Source organism: Homo sapiens, chromosome 4, assembly GCF_000001405.40.
Source record: "Homo sapiens chromosome 4, GRCh38.p14 Primary Assembly".
In the NCBI taxonomy this organism is placed as follows: domain Eukaryota; kingdom Metazoa; phylum Chordata; class Mammalia; order Primates; family Hominidae; genus Homo; species Homo sapiens.
In genome coordinates, this window is record NC_000004.12 from 190,186,800 (window position 1) to 190,204,555 (window position 17,756).

The 17,756-nt window shown below is 41.5% G+C and overlaps 1 pseudogene; it reads left to right on the forward strand.

Annotated features, from left to right (window-relative positions):
• RPL23AP84 (ribosomal protein L23a pseudogene 84) lies at window positions 8,913-9,440 on the forward strand (annotated as a pseudogene).

A 17,756-nucleotide genomic window follows, 5' to 3' on the forward strand; every position in this document is an offset into this window, starting at 1 on the left:
AAGCTCCTAGCAGATGAGCCATGTGGCTTCTGAGCACACATGCTTGCTTGCTGCTGTGAGGTCAGACACCATCATGTCTTTTCCATCTCTGGAGGGAATTGTAAGGGCCACTTAATAACCTGTAAATCAGAGAGATAAAGGTGCTTCCCCAAAACACTGATGACAGAATGAAAGGTGAGGAGTGTTAGCCACAGGTCAAAAGTACAGGAAAGTCTCTCAGTGTGGGTTGTTGAAGAAATGCAGGTCTTTTTTCTTTTGGAAGTCTCCCTAGAATGGGGTCAAGGACTCTGCCCATTCTAGGATGAAAAATTGGGATATTAGACACCTTCAGATATTTATCCCCAGCTTTCATTTTGGGCTCTTAATTAGTTTGTTCATCCATCACAATCTCAAATGCTAAGCAGGGCATTTGAATCTCTCCACAGTGCAAATCAGCGCCGTCTTTTAAAGTTGAGTTTATTCTTATTCTCACCTGATATACCTTATTTATCCCACACCCACCCCAATAACATATCGTGCTCACTGTTATCTTTGAGGCAACCCTTGAATTTTACTCAGCCTGGAGCGCTCTTCACATGTCTTGTCCAGAGCCAGTTCGGACTCATTCTTCAGCCGTGCATCAGTCAGTGGGGGCTAGCTTAAACTGTGGTGACAAACAACCTCCAAATTTCAGTGGCTCAAAAATCTTCTTCCTCATTTATTTACATCTCATGACTGGTCAGGTGAGAGGTAGCTCTGTGCTGTGTCATCCTAACACAGGAATCCAGAAGGAAGGAGGGACTGTCAATAAGATCCCCATTGCTATAGAAAAGAGAAAAAAGCATGTGGAATAGAACGCTGTTTCTTGGAGATTTCTCCTGAAAAAGTCACATGTTATTTCTTCTCACCTCCATTGGCAAAAAAAAAAAAAAAAAAAAAAAAAAAAGTCATGTGGCCATGGGAAAATTTAAGTAGGTGGGATGGAACAGTCAGAATGCATTCATAAAAAATGAACTGAAAATATTTGGAGAACAACACCAATGACTATCATGAATGCCAACATACATCCCTAACAACCCAGTGCTGTTACCCTCCAAACTTTTTATGTCTTGCAAAGTATTAGAACTTCATATCTGAAGCCATACCACTCAGAGGGAATGCAATACATATTGACATCTCCTTTAGGATGTCCATAGAGAATTCAAGAAAAGAAATAATTTAAAAGTGCTTTTGGGTACAGCTATTTAGCACTAGAGGGTAAGAGTAGAGATAGATTGTAAAGATAATAATAGGGTTAGGCATAGGATTAGGATCTGGGTCAGAGTCAGGGCCGGAAGTATGGTTAGAGGTGGGGTCATGGTCAGGGTCAAGATCAAAGTCAGGGTTAAAGTAAGGGTCAGAATTAAGGACCAGGGTAGGGATCAGGACTTAGGTTCAGGCTCAAAGTCTTGGGACAGGGTTAGGGTTAGGATTAGAACCAGAGCTTTGTTCTCAGGACCCACCCGAGGATGGGTCACCATGGCTTTGGAGCACCTGGTAGTGTGGCATGTCCACAGTGAAGACCAGAGTTTCGTTGTCCTTAAGACTGACCTGGGAGACGTGGCTGCAGGCCATTGAGGAAGGTGAGGCAAAAGCTTCCTGTCTGCTCCCCGTGTGCTGAGGAGGGAGCTCTGCCATGGGCTTTACTTTCACACGTTATATTCTACAAGTCTTGTTTTACAAAAGCATCCCTTCCTTGAGGCTTCGGCTGCTCATCACTGCTCATCATCATAGCGTGCCATAACATATAGTAAGGTTTGGGTTTGTTTCTGGGAGAGATCTTGGCATAGAGAAAGGAGAAATGCTTAGAGCCACCATCAAGACAGTTGGGATGAAAGCTGGGGATAGGCAGAGGCTGGAGGAAACATGTGCACCCCTTGTAAACACTTATTCATGTTTTAGTTATTCACTTAAAGTGTTAAATTAGTAAAAATAGTATTGAAAAATTGAAAAGTAGGCATATTAAAACTTGTAACAATATTTAAGCTTAGATATATTATTTGTACCTCATCAACATTTTTTATTTTGTTGAGAAAGTGTAAGGTTAATTGGCAGCATATTTCTAATAGTAGATAGAATAATGTCTGTTTTATAAACATTGACATCCTACATTACATGTGTGAACCCTGAAAATCTGAGACAGCTCTCAGATTTTTTAGAAAGTTTATTTTGCCAATCTTGAGGATGTGCACCCGTGATGCCTCCCCAGGAGGTCCTGACAACATGGGCCCAAGGTGGTAGGGGCACAGCTTGGTTTTATACACTTTAGGGAGACATGAGACATCAATCAATACGTGTAAGATGTACATTGGTTCAGTCCAGAAAGGTGAGAAGGCCAGACAGGGGGCTTCCAGGTCATAGGTAGGTAAGAGACAAATGGTTTCATTCTTTTGCATTGCTGATTACCCTCTCCAAATGAGGCAATCAGGTATGCATTTATCTCGGTGAGCAGATGGGTGACTTTGGATACAATGGGAGGCGGGTTTGCCCTAAGCAGTTCCCAGCTTGACTTTTCCCTTTAGCTTAGTGATTTTGGGTCCCCAAGATTTATTTTCCCTTCATAAGGTTTTCCTATGAGCATTAATTATTCATTGTGTATTTTATCACACAAATAAGGCACAGATTTTTAAAAAATCATCAACTTCCTGGCTACCTATATAGACATAATTACATAGAAGCTCAACTAAATTTGCAAACATTCCAGAGTTTGGGTTTCCAATAATTCTTTGTGATTCTTTAAAAGGTAAAGTATTTTTTCCCATAAAACATAGCAACATTTAAAATCACCCGTAGAATGTCCTGCCATTTTTGTTTCTGTAGTTTCCTCATTTTCTGCAAAGCCTTGCTGAGGAAATTGACTTTGAATATCCTTTTACACTCTTCTGTTTTAGAAAGCATTGTGGTAAAACATTGAATCATCATGGTCATAAGTTCTGTTCACATTCTTTCTTGCTTTGAATATTTTTTCCCAGTGGCCAATATTTGATTCTGTTTTATCATGGCTAAAAGGTAGGCATGGCAACAAAATAAAGACAGGAAGTCTTTGGAATAAGTGATCCCATCACAGTGAATCAATTTGCCATTGGAACATATTTTTACAAAGTCACTCTTTTGAAAATATTTAGCTATGAATTAAAACAAAGTCTGTATGGTTAATATTTTTCCTGGTCTAAGGTGAACAGCATTTTAGAGAATGAACTCAGGACACAACCACTGCACAAGAAAAACGTGATAATTAAGTTTACACATATGTGTTACTACTGCAACAGAAAACATGTAAAGAACATTTGATTTATGTATCAGTCTGCACTGTTTAATTTTTTGTGTCATAAATACTCTTATTTAAAAAAACAGGACTAGTTAACAGTGTCAATTACTAGTAATTCATGGTATAAATAATTAAACAAGGAAGTGTTCAAAAAAAACAGTGTTTTAAATAAAGTTTTATTTTACATCATCTTTTTTACTTACACAGAAATTGTCAAAAAAAAGCAGAGATTTCCCATGTAGCCGCAACCTAGTTTCCTCTCTTATTAACATCTTCTATCAGTGTGTCTCACATGGCTTATTAATATCTTACATAATTTGTCACAGTTAATGAACCAATACTGATAGACTATTATTAACCGAAGTTCATATTTCATTTGGATTCCCTTAGTTCTATCTTACTCTGACCCAGGATCCCATCCAGGATCCCGCATGACATGTAGACATCACGTGGGCTCTTCCTGGCTGTGACAGTGTGTCAGGCTTTCCATCTCATGATGACCTTCATAGCACTGAGGAGGATTGGTCAGGAATGTTGTAGAATGTCCCCCATTGTCACTTCATGTTCTCAAGTTGAACTGTCACCTTTGATGTTCACTTGGATCATTTGGCAGAGTTAATGTTTGTCAGGTTTCTCCACTGTGAGGCTATTTCTCCTCCTTGTCCGTACTGCATGTGTTCTTTTGGAGCAAGTCACTATGCAGAGCCTCACTCCGTAAGGAGTTGGCTCCACCTTCTTGACGGCTGAGTGTCTACATCAATTATTTGGAATTCTTTTGCAAAGGAGATTTCTATGCAACTCCATTTGCTTATTCACCGAGGTATACAAATACAGACACCTAGATAATTACTTTAAGCTTTAGTTATTATTCAACTCTACAGTATTATGTTGCACAATTCATTCCTGTGTTGGCCATCAGTAGCTGTTTTTATTGGCTTTTATTTTTCTTTGATATGTTTTAATTTTTTTAGTACTTACTTTCTGATACTTCCAGATTATCCTGGTTCCTATATTTACTGTCCCAGTTCTAGTATCAGACATTTCTTCAAAGAGCCTGATTCCTTTCAGAATGGTAGGAAAACTTACATCTGGCTGCTGAATGAGCACATTGTATCTTCTCCCTCATTGGCAATGCTAGGAAGTATATGTGTGTGTCTAACCTACCTATACACACCTAATTATAAAGTTTTCTATGTAGAACTGTGTGTGTCTATATTAAACTAAACATAAGTTTACGTTGATGTCTCCACCTCTGATCTACTATCACATGAATCATTCTAGCCTTCTCGCCTTGCTAATTTGTAACCTCCCACTTCAACAGTAAGAAACCGGGTTCCCACCATCTGCGACTTATGTAAGTCATTGTTTTATTCCAGATACAGACACTGTGGTTTTACAATTGTTCACAATTGCTTCTTTTGGAAAGAACTTTATAAAATGGAATCCAATAATGAAGTATAGTTCATGTGCCTTCAGCCTACAGATTCTATTCATTTTCAAAGTTTTTACCTAGATTTGTGTCTTAGTCCATTTTGTGCTTCTGTAACAGAATACCTGAGGCTGCGCAATTTATAAGTAAAAAAGTTTCATTTGGTTCACAATACTGGTGGCTGGAATGTCTGAGATTGGGCAGTTGCATCTGGCAGGGCCTCAGTCTTTTTCACCTCATGGTGGAAAGTGGAAGGGGAGCAAGGGGTGCACCAGAGATCACATAGCAGAAGTGAAAGCAAGAGGGAAGCCAAGGAAGCCAGACTCTTTTTAATTACTTACTCCTGCAGGAATTATCTATTCCTGTGAGAACAGAACTCACTCACCCCCATGGAGGACATTAATCTATTCATGAGGGATCCGTCCCCATGATCCAAACACCGTCCACTAGGCCCCACCGCCCCACACTGACCCAGTGGGAGTCAAATTTCAACATGAGTTTTTGTGGGGACAAACCACATCCAAACCATAGTAATTTGTAGCATAAATTCTTTTTCACATGATGTATTCTGTCCTGGGATACTCCACATCCTGAGTAATTTGATTTAATTTGAATAGAGTTTGCTTTAACCATTTGGCTGTAAAATTCTGCATATTTCGACAAATGCATTGTGGCAGATAACCCACTATTAAAGTATCAAATGGAATGCCTCAAACCCCCACCCCATGGAGCCAATGGCTTCCCATCTGTGTAGTTTGCCTTCTCCAGTGTCTCATTAAATGAGGTCACACTGTGTGTATCCTCCTCAGACTGTCTTCTTCCACTTAGCAATGTGCATGCAAGATTCACTCATGTCTTTGTGTGTGTTGATATCTTGTTCCTTTCTATGGCTAAATAGTATTCCATTACATGAATGTAGCACAATTTGGTTATGCATTTTGGGGAGCAGAACCTTCCTCTTCTAACTTTGTTCCAGGGTTGGAGACCTTCAAATTAACTGACAATAGATACATTAGTAGGAGAGACAATACTTGGCTTCTTGTTCCCCAAGTATCATTGTGGGACAAAATTCATCAGATGGCAGGATCCAGTTTACAAAGAGGTAAAAATAGCCCAGAAACAAGAAACAAGACTAGAATCTGATAACTCACAATGGCTATAGTTTTCCTTTAAAAAAATTTTTTTTGAGACAGGGTCTGGCTCTGTCACCCAGGCTGGAGTGCAAAGGTGCAATCTCAGCTCACTGCAACCTCTACCTCCTGGGTGCAAACGATCCTCCCTCCTCAGCCTCCTGATTACCTGGGACTACAGGCACATGCCGTCATGCCCATCTAATTTTTGTATTTTTGGTAGAGACGGGGTTTCACCATGTCGCCCAGGCTGATGTTGAACTCCTGGCCTTCCAAAGGGCTGTAATTATAGGCATGTGCCACCATGCCCGGCTGTGTTATACTTTTCCTTTGAAAGATAAAATTTCTCTCTGTAGTAACCATCATTTTTTATCATAATCAAAGTAAGACTATTCTTGTTTTAAAAATAAGTCTAGTTTTGTTAGATTTTGCTTGATTATTTACGTAAGTGCAGCAAGAACAGGAGATGACCACGTAGGTGCTTTCAGGTTTCTTTGCTGGAAGTTTTCATACAGAATCTCAGACTTGACTTTTAAAGGCCTTATTCAGGCTAAAAGCCAAGCCAAGAGCATACTATCAAATTTCAGCTGCAGTCCTTATAGCTTTGTGTGAATTCCTCTCTTCTTGAGGCCCCAAAATATCCCTAAATTCCTGGGCCTACCAGGAAATGACCTTCCTTACTAACCTATAAGGCTGTGAACCCTGTAATCTAGGTATCAGGCTGGGTTTTCTCAGAGTGCTGTTGGGAATGAAGTTTTTTATGTTCCCCCCCCGAAAAAAAAGAACTAACATGGGAACAAATGATCTCTTAGCAAGGCGAGCTTTATTTTTCTGCACAAAGGGTGCTACTCAATAGCTGTCCAGCTACAAGAGCACACCAAACAAAGGAGACAGAGTTACTTATAACCTGACGTGTCTACCCTACTGCTGTGTCCAGTTTCCATTGGCTGGAATAGGACCTCCCATTTTACACTTTACCCGATTGGCTGTTAGTTTAAAACTTTCTTAATTAGGTAAGGGGAATAGAAGAAGGAAAGAAAAGGAAGTTGCCCAGGGATAGTTAAGGAAGCATCTCCAAATAAGGAATGACATGCACTATGGGCTGGGGCTTGTCTAGTTCTGTCCAGGCATGCTGGAGCAAGCTAGGACAAGTGATTTGGAACACACACACACACACACATATAAAAATAGTGGGTAGTTGTGACTTTATAATCTTTAAGGAAGAACTTTCCTCAAAGTTTTCCACAGTGCTTTGTAAGCATTGTCTCCATAAAAGTCAACCTTACTTCCTTAAAATTGCTGGTCATAACTGATCTTAGGTACACTTCCTAAATATGATATTCCAGTAAAAACCTTGATAATATAACCAAAATTTCCAATTATGTCCTGTTATAAGGTGAATAGATTCTTACTGGACTTTTGCTAACAACAATATCATCGTGGAAATAAGAGTATTCAGTAAGGATTTCAAAATTCTGGAAAAATCAGCCAAGAAAAAAAGATAAACGCTTCATTTCTGTTTACAAAAGTATAATCTACTAAATTGTTGTAAGTTACAGTTAGAGTAAGAGAAAGAGATTTCTTAAATCCAGAAACTAGAATATTAACCAGCAATGCTCCAAAAAGCTATACAATTATAATCAATTTTCATCAGTTCATTCAGTGCCATGTAATCAATTCCAGTCTTGTGGATCTTGAGTTAGCAGTGTCATGAACCCATCAGTTTCCCAACCAGACTTCTGGAGACCTTAACTGAGTCAAGTGTATGGTCTTAAAGTTATTTAAGCAATATCATCAGAAGCCTATAACCAGAGTACCTGTCATAGTCTTTTCTGTGAGTCTCAGAGGGAGTCCTGTCTTGGAGACGAACATTCTGACCTGTAGTTGATTGCAGGAGCTTTCAGGAAAGCATCAGGGGGAAATAATATCTAAATGACAAAAAGTATGAAATGGCTGTGATGAAAGATCTGATGAGAGTTCATTATACCACAACTGACAAGGATATTCTATTTTTTCTGTGGCAGACAACATTTATTTATTTATTTATTCAGAGACAGAGTCTTGCTCTGTCGCCCAGGCTGGAGTGCAGCGGTGCGATCTCGGCTCACTGCAAGCTCTGTCTCCTGGGTTCACGCCATTCTCCTGCCTCAGCCTCCCGAGTAGCTGGGACTACAGGTGCCTGCCATCACGCCCAGCTAATTTTTTATATTTTTAATAGAGATGGAGATTCACCGGGTTAGCCAGGATGGTCTGGATCTCCTGACCTTGTGATCCACCCGCCTCAGCCTCCTAAAGTGCTGGGATTATAGGCATGAGCCACTGTGCCTGGCACAACATTTAAAGTAATAATTGGAATTATGACTCATTACTCTATAGTGGCACATAGCATGGATAAGGAGGACATTGACAAACTTCCAGGAATTTTATATAATTTCTGAAAATATAACATTTTACCCATACAAATATAACACAGGGAAGGTTAGGTATCTCTTTTTATTTGTATCTTCTGTATGGTTTTCCTTATGAAAAATGCAACCTACTTTACTTGCGAAACATGCCCTACTTTTCTTGCATGCTTTGCATAGAGTTGTTTCTAGTTATTCTATTATTTCTAGTAGTTTTATTTACATATATTGATTATAATTTTAATACTTAGTAATCTTTTATTTTCCAGAGAAAACTAGGAAGTAGACAGTTATAAACTGTCATATATTAGCATTCTATAGTAGGTTAGAAAATGTATGAATATACCATCTCCCAACATCTAGAGGGATGTGTTTCCTCATAATACAATTCCTCAGTGTGGCAGAAAAAAACATGTTTATTAACGGGCCAAAATATCTTTAGTCTCTCTGTAAAAACAGGAAGCCAAAAGTATATAAACTTGAATTATTTATGTTCAGTAATTAATGTTTTAGTATTGTATCTTATTTATAAATGGTCTAGATATTTAATGCAGATCTTTTACTTAGCTTAACTTTAAGGTTAAAAATTACCAAAAGTACTTTGGAAACTATTCTTAGGCAGATTTACTGTAAACAAATTATTTTTGAAATAATGTTTTTCGCTTTTCACAAGACGGCACCGAAAGCGAAGGAAGCTCCTGCTCCTCCTAAAGCCGAAGCCAAAGTGAAGGTTTTAAAGGCCAAGAAGGCAGTGTTGAAAGGTGTCCGCAGCCACACGCAAAAAAGAAGATCCGCATGTCACCCACCTTCAGGCGGCCCAAGACACTGCGACTCCGGAGGCAGCCCAGATATCCTCGGAAGAGCACCCCCAGGAGAAACAAGCTTGGCCACTATGCTATCATCAAGTTTCCGCTGACCACTGAGTCGGCCGGAAGAAGATAGAAGAAAACAACACGCTTGTGTTCACTGTGGATGTTAAAGCCAACAAGCACCAGATCAGACAGGCTGTGAAGAAGCTCTATGACAGTGATGTGGCCAAGGTCACCACCCTGATTTGTCCTGATAAAGAGAACAAGGCATATGTTCGACTTGCTCCTGATTATGATGCTTTCGATGTTGTAACAAAATTGGGATCATCTAAACTGAGTCCAGCTGGCTAACTCTAAATATATGTGTATTTTTTCAGCATAAAAAAATAATGTTTTTCATAAGAATGACAACTTAATTAGAATCAAATCTATAAGCTTTAAGATTTTACATTTCTAGTAAGTATAATATTAGCTTATTTGACTAGAACTCAAGCAGAATAGGAATTTATGCTTGTTTTATATTCAATAATGATAATTTTGAAGATATAGTTGTTTTATTACACCAAAAATACTATATTAATCTTATTTAACTAAGTTTTATCCAAATCATGTTAACTTAAGAAACATTTGATCAGTTCCTATATTTCTAGGAGTTTGGTGAATATTTATTTATAAATGCTTATTTTTTTCCAAGCCAAGTTAGAATAGAGCACTTTTAGAGGATTTCATAAATGAATTTTGCAATGATCTCTGGAGTTAAGAAAATATCACATATACATAACATACATTAATAGATATACAAACACAAATAGAGATTTCATAGCTTTCATCCTGAAATTTCAGCCATGAATCAGGCATAAATATTCTGATGGTTAATTTCAGATATCTACTTGATCCGATTGAGAGACACACATAGCTGGTCAAACACGATTTCAGCCATGAATCAGGCATAAATATTCTGATGGTTAATTGTAGACATCTACTTGACTGGATTAAGAGACACACATAGCTGGTCAAACAAGATTTCAGCCATGAATCAGGCATAAATATTCTGATGGTTAATTGTAGACATCTACTTGACTGGATTAAGAGACACACATAGCTGGTCTAACACGATTTCAGCCATGAATCAGGCATAAATATTCTGATGGTTAACTTTAGGCATCTACTTGATTGGATTGAGAGACACACATAGCTGGTCAAACACGATTTCAGCCATGAAGCAGGCATAAATATTCTGATGGTTAATTGTAGACATCTACTTGACTGGATTAAGAGACACACATAGCTGGTCAAACACGATTTCAGCCATGAAGCAGGCATAAATATTCTGATGGTTAATTGTAGACATCTACTTGACTGGATTAAGAGACACACATAGCTGGTCAAACACAATTTCAGCCATGAATCAGGCGTAAATATTCTGATGGTTAATTGTAGACATCTACTTGAGTGGATTGAGAGACACACATAGCTGGTCAAACACGATTTCAGCCATGAATCAGGCATAAATATTCTGATGGTTAATTTTAGACATGTACTTGACTGGATTAAGAGACACACATAGCTGGTCAAACACGATTTCAGCCATGAAGCAGGCATAAATATTCTGATGGTTAATTGTAGACATCTACTTGACTGGATTAAGAGACACACATAGCTGGTCAAACACGATTTCAGCCATGAATCAGGCATAAATATTCTGATGGTTAACTTTAGGCATCTACTTGATTGGATTGAGAGACACACATAGCTGATCAAACACAATTTCAGCCATGAATCAGGCATAAATATTCTGACGGTTAATTTTAGACATCTACTTGACTGGATTAAGGGACACACACAGCTGGTCAAACAATTTCAGCCATGAATCAGGCATAAATATTCTGACAGTTAATTTTAGACATCTATTTGAGTGGATTAAGAGACACACATAGCTGGTCAAACACGATTTCTGGGCATATCTATGAGGGTGTTTCTGGAAGACACTGAGATAACCATGACCCAATGTGGATGGGCACTGATATGGTTTGGCTGTGTCCCCACCCAGATCTCATCTTGAATTGTAGTTCCTGTAATACCTACATGTCGTGGGAGGGACCCAGTGGGAGGTGACTGAATCATGGTGGTGGTTACCGCCATGCTGTTCTCATGACAGTGAGTGAGTTCTCATGATCTGATGGTTTTATAAGGGGCTTTTCCCCTTTGGCTCAGCACTTCTTGTTGCTGCCATGTGAAGAGGGATAGCTTTGCTTCCCCTTCTGCCATGATTGTGAGGCCCCTGCAGCCATGTGGAACTGTCAGCCCATTAAACCCCTTTGTTCTTTATAAATTGCTCAGACTCAGGTATTTCTTCATAGCTGTATAAAAATGGATGAATACAGGCACCATCCAATTGGTTGAGAGCCCAGATAGAATAACAAGGAAGAGGAAAGGTGAATTATCTCCTTCTGAAATGGAAACATCCTTCTTCTCCTGCCCTTGACATCAGAACTTCAGGGTCTCAGACCTTTGGCCTCACAATCAGAGTTACACCATTGGCTTCCCTGATTCTGAGTCCTTTGTATCTGGAGTGAGCCATGCTACCAGCTTTCCTGGTTCTCCAACTTGGAGACAGGCTATTGTGGAACTTCTCAGCCTCCATAATTATGTGAACCAGTTCCCCTAATGAATCTTCTCTCATCTATCTACATATATCCTATTGATTCTGCCTTTATGGAGACCCCTGCCTAATGTGATTACAATAACTACAAAATTCACCACTTTATATAGAAGACTTGGTTTTTGTCTTTGCCCCATTTTATATTTGTATTATAACTATGTGTCTGGAAAATGGAACAAGTTTTTTCTTCTTCATATGAGGGCTAAGGCTTTTTTCTCACCAATATTTTTGGAGATTTTAAAGATTTTCTTTTTTTTTTGACATAGAATCTTATGGAGGCTGAGAAATAATTTTTTTTCTATTTTATTCTTCAGCCCCAGGTGTTTGCTTTTGCAGATTCTTGAGCACATTGAGAGCCTCCAAGGCATGGAGTGGGGTGCCTGAAGTTTCAGTGATTATAGGGAGTTGAGAGACTCAACTGGGAAAGGAAAGGTCTAAAAGGAGGCAATTTGGAAAATAAAAATTTTCTCAAAGGAGCCATTAAAGTTGTAAATAATTCTTAGTAAAGTCATGCAAACAGGAAAAGAAGTAGAATTAGTTCCATATTGGTGGAACACATAGTCAGCAGAGGTTGGAGAAGGGAGAATTTAGTGAACTGAGAAGTTCCCATGAAAGCAGCAAGATCAAGATCACAGAGACACCTTGAAACAAAAAGCCAGGAATAACTTCCAACCCAAGAGGAGAACAGAGAGGCCTCAAAACCAAAGCTAGGATAAGAAACTTGTAGCCCAAGAGTTATCTTCCAGACAAAGAAGCCTGAGATTCCAACGCAGCTTCAGAGAGTACTCACTCAAAATGTTACTGAAACTGTAGGCTTTTTAATGACTTAGCCATGCCTGCAAAAGGCATTCCCTAAGGTGGCACAGAAGACGGAGCCCCCATATCCAAAGATAGCCAAGGAGAAAGAAAGACCCCTGTTGCCAGAGCCAGTGGGAAAAGGTAACAGAAAAGGAGACAAGGGTCCTAATGGGATGAGATCCTTTCGGATTTAGGCTTTTATACAAACTCCTGAGAACTGGCAGGTTGACAGCCATAATTGGGGTACCAAACTTTCTACTCATTGGATTACAAGTTCTCAGGCATCCAGAATGATTAACAAAATGATAATTTCTAGGGCTTCTGTGGGAGAGTATGGAAAGGTCTTTTTGAACCTTTTAATGCTGTCAACGGAAGAATGATGAGGTTCATAAATTTGGAAAGGAGACATTTCTTCATTTTTATGCTTATTTTTATTTTTTTTTTGAGACAGAGTTTCACTCTTGTTGCCCAGGCTGGAGTGCAATGGTATGATCTTGGTTCACTGCAACCTCCACCTCCTGGGTTGAAGCGATTCTCCTGCCTCAGCCTCCTGATTAGCTGGGATTACAGATGCCCACCACCACACCTGGCTAATTTTTTGCAGTTTTGGTAGAGACAGGGTTTCATCATGTTGGCCAGGCTGGTCTGAAACTCCTGACCTCAGGTGATCCACCCACCTCGGCCTCCCAAAGTGCTGGGATTACAGGCATGAGCCACCCACCCAGTGAGAGATTTATTTTCTATAAAGGGTTGTAGCCTGCAGGGTTGTCCTTCTGACAGGCTGGGAAGCATAGCCTCCAGCCAGAAGCCAGAAACAGATGCTTCAAGGAGGAGGTAAAGGAAATAGCAATTTATGCTGAGTGGAATGGCCAAATAGATTTATTTAATAAGCTCTAGGAGGAGTCATGAATATTTATGGAAGGAGAAATGCATGCACACACAATTGAGTTTCTTGCTTCTTCATGGGTCCCATGTACAAAAAATGGCAGTGTTAGCATGATCCCAGGGTGGAGTTTTCAGCCCTCTGACATTAAAAGGTGAAGCAGAGGAAATGAAAACTCGCTCTGTGCATCCTCTGTACGCTGGCCAGAACCTCTCCATCGTGGGTGGTCTCTTATCAGGCAAGAAAGGAGAGGTTGATATCAGTGGTGGAGGCTTTGAAAGGGCTGGTTTCTGTTAAATCCTTAGGGAAGAAAGCCTCATCATGGTTAGCAAAGGAGGGGGTATAACGATGTGTATCTTAACCCCATCATCGCATCCTAGCAAAGCTGAGAACTCAGTTTTGAAAGTTACTCTGGGGTCCCCTCAGCCAAGAGTGGGTCTGTTCAGTCAGTTGGGAGCTTAGAATTTAATTTTCATTTATCAATGCTAATGCGAAAGAGTACGCTGTCTTCATGGCAGCTGAATTTGCAAGAAACTCCTTGGATGGGGTTAATGGCAGCTGTATTTTACTGGGAGCTCTGCTTTAATTGGATAAAGTAAGTTCTGGTAAGATTTCTTCATCTTCAGTATCTCAAATGTTTTCATTTAAATAATCTTTATAACAACTTTTGATGTCTGAGTGGAGTCCCACACAGTCATCTATTGTAAGACTTTCTGATTCCTTTTTTTTCCTTTGGTCATTATGAATAGGGCTTCTGTAAATAACTGCATGGTAGCTTTTGATGGGAAATAACATCAAAGTAGTTGTCAAAATCCTTAGGAATGTTATTTTTGGATTGTAAGGTGAGACTTGTTTAGCTTTGGAAAAAAATGCCCAACTTGTAATAGGGGAGGAAAAATAATTTTCTGTTTTTGGAATTCTTAGATGGAACGCTCTGTAAAAACTGACAGATTAAAATGAGAAAAACAGAAAAGTTTAAAAACATGTATATCTTATGGTTACATGGGATATACTCAGGGAAAAATGAGTAAATCTCCAACAGGTGGCTTTCAATTCAAGCATAAATACTATCTTCAACTTAAAGAAAGAAGATTTGAGGTGCAGTAGTGGGAAGTTAACCAGCAAAAGCACATTAGACAGGGGTAAGGTTCGTTATACAGAGTTAAGTCCATGCATTCTCCATTGATAAGACTCTTCAGTGATTTAGTTATCCTTCTCTTCTTGGTGTCGAGAGAGGTAGCTTTTAAATGGTGATTTCCTTTATAGGTGTAAATTTTCCTTACACAAGTAACTTTTACTCTGTTTTCACAACTTCCTTTGTTAGCATTTTTTTTTTCAAAATAATTAGCTTGGAATAATTTTTAAGCCAAAGGGACATATTTTGGGGTTGCATATTCTGGTTTCCTACCATTATATTTTGGGGTGGCATAGTTTGGTCTTATACACTGTGTTCTACTGGCAATGAAAAGAGTTCTTGTTTTTCCTCCAGCAATTTGTCATTTGTTAAAGAGCTTAGGAGTTCTAAGAGATATAGACCAGCTGTGCTATCTTTTTGTGGTTTTCAGTTCTCTAGTATGTTGAGCATCTTTTTGTAGGTGTACTTGCCATCTGTAGATCTTCTTTGATGAGGCGTCTGTTCAGATCTGTGTGCATTTTTAATTGGGCTGTTTAACTTATTGTTTAGTTTTAACAATTTTTTATATATTTTGAATACAAATTCTCAGATCTGTATTTTGCAAATATTTTCTTCAATATGTGGCTTGTCTTTTTGTTCTCTTAACAAGGTCTCTTCCAGAGTATAAACTGTAAATATTAAGAAATCCACATTGTCATTTCTTCTGTGTATATCAACCTTCTGTGTCATTTGTTAAAATTCATTACCAAACGCAAAGGCACATAGCTTTTCCTCTATAGTTTCTTCTAGAAATTGTATAGTTTTGCATTTTTAGTGTAATGATGATTTTGAGTGATTATTTGTGTAAGTTGTAAAGTTTTCGTCTACATGCATATCATTTCTTATGGTTTCCAATTAATCATTCCCTCACTATTTTTGGGAAAGACACAGGATAGTGGGCTCTGTTAGAGTAGATAGCTAGCTAGACATGAACAGGAGGGGGAGCTCCTGGAAAAGGGAAAGTCTGTGAAGGCTCACGTGGAGGGACCACCAAAAATGCATATATTAGTAGCATCTCTAGTGCTGGAGTGGATGGGCACTTGTCAATTGTGGTTAGGAGGGAGAAGAGGTACCTACGCAGAAACACCCTAGAACTTCTCTTGAGATGCCCCAATCTTCATTCACTCTGCAATAAAAATGTCAGAATATTGCTAGCTACATGCTGATAAGAAGGAGAAAGGGGACATTCTTAAGAGAAACCTGGCACCATAAGTACAGATTAGGGCAGAGAAAGACATTTAAAAGAGGCAGCTGCAGTAGATACAAACGTGACCGCTGTCAGCCTGCCTGGTATGGCGGGAAGGAGGCTGGTGCCAGAGTGGATTCGGGTTGATCACCACACATGTACCTCAATCAACAGTGAGGAGGTCCCACAAGGCTAAGTGGGGCAAGTCGGGGACCTAAGGCAGTAGCAGGAAAACCAAAGAAAACAGGCGGAGACTTGAGACAGAGGCAGGAATGTGAAGAAGTCCAAAATAAAAATCCCTGCACAGGACTCTTAGGCTGTTATCATGCACTATCAGCCTACTCCTCCCTATTTTTGTACAATAAGCTCTTTACACTGTATTTCTTTTCAATGAAGTTATCTTCCATCTTTGTACTGCCTCTTGGTGAAAAGCTGTCTTCCAAGTTAATAACTGGGACATCAGCTCTCCGCAGTAATAGCTCCTTTTCAGTTTTAATTTGCAGAACTGATGGGGATTAATAACTGGCGCTCTGACTTTAAGTGGTGCAGGAGGCGGCCAGTAGGGGACGCCAGCCGTTACGCCGGGAGCAAGAGGGCCCTGCGTAGTCCCCATCTGCCTGCATGTGGCGTGCAGCCACGACAATGGCAGCAAGAGGGCCCGGCAGTGTGCCCAGCTGCCAGCAGGCGTGTGTGCTGCCACTATAATGTGAGGAAGAGGGCCCTGCAATGTCCCTAGCTGCCAGCAGGCGGCGTGCCACCACTATACTGCGAGCAAGAGAGCCCTGCCGTGCCCCGGCGCCAGCAGGGGGCGCTGGACAGCACTGTAAGCAAGAGGGCCCTGCAGTTGTCCTAGTCGCCAGTAGGGGACGCAATGGCAGAGCACCGTGGGCAAGCTGGTCCTGTAGTGCCCGGCTGCAAGCAGGGGGCGCCCGAAACGGGCTTTTCAGATTACTCAGGTTCCACTCGTCTCTGCGCCGCCGGGGACGTGTGTCTCTGCGCGTGCACCGCGCCACCCCCGCGCTCCCCGCCCGGCGGCGCGCGACTGTGCGACTGCAACACTCCCCGCCACCCTCAGCCCAGCGACGTGCGTCTCTGCGCCTGCGCCGCGCCTCACTCCCGCCCGCTCAGCGACCCCTCCCCTCCGGGGAGGCGCCGGCGTGCGTCTACGCCCTGCGCCGCGTCTCCCCAACAGCGGCGCGCCTCTCTGCGCCTGCGCCGGCGCGCCGCGCCTCTCTGCGCCTGCGCCGGCGCGCCGCGCCTCTCTGCGCCTGCGCCGGCGCCCCGCGCCTCTCTGCGCCTGCGCCGGCGCCCCGCGCCTCTCTGCGCCTGCGCCGGCGCCCCGCGCCTCTCTGCGCCTGCGCCGGCGCCCCGCGCCTCTCTGCGCCTGCGCCGGCGCCCCGCGCCTCTCTGCGCCTGCGCCGGCGCGCCGCCTTTGCGAGGGCGGAGTTGCGTTCTCTTTAGCACACACCTGGAGAGCATCGCGAGGGCGGAGCTGCGTTCTCCTCTGCACAGACTTCGGGGGTATTGCGAAGGCGGAGCAGAGTTCTTCTCAGGTCAGACCCGGGCGGGCGGGCTGAGGGCACTGCGAGGGTGGAGCTGCGTTCTGTTCAGCACAGACGTGGGGGGCACCGTAAAGGCGGAGCAGCATTCTTCTCAGCACAGACGTTGGGGGTACTGCCTGCCTTTGGGATAACTCGGGGCCGCATCGACGGTGAATAAAATCTTTCCTGTTTGCTGCCCTGAATAATCAAGGTCAGAGACCAGTTAGAACGGTTTAGTGTGGAAAGCGGGAAACGAAAAGCCTCTCTGAATCCTGCGCACCGAGATTCTCCCAAGGCAAGGCGAGGGGCTGTATTGCAGGGTTCAAGTGCAGCGTCAGAACTCAAATGCAGCATTCCTAATGCACACATGACACCCTAAATATAACAGGCATATTACTCATGGAGGGTTAGGGTTAGGGTTAGGGTTAGGGTTAGGGTTAGGGTTAGGGTTAG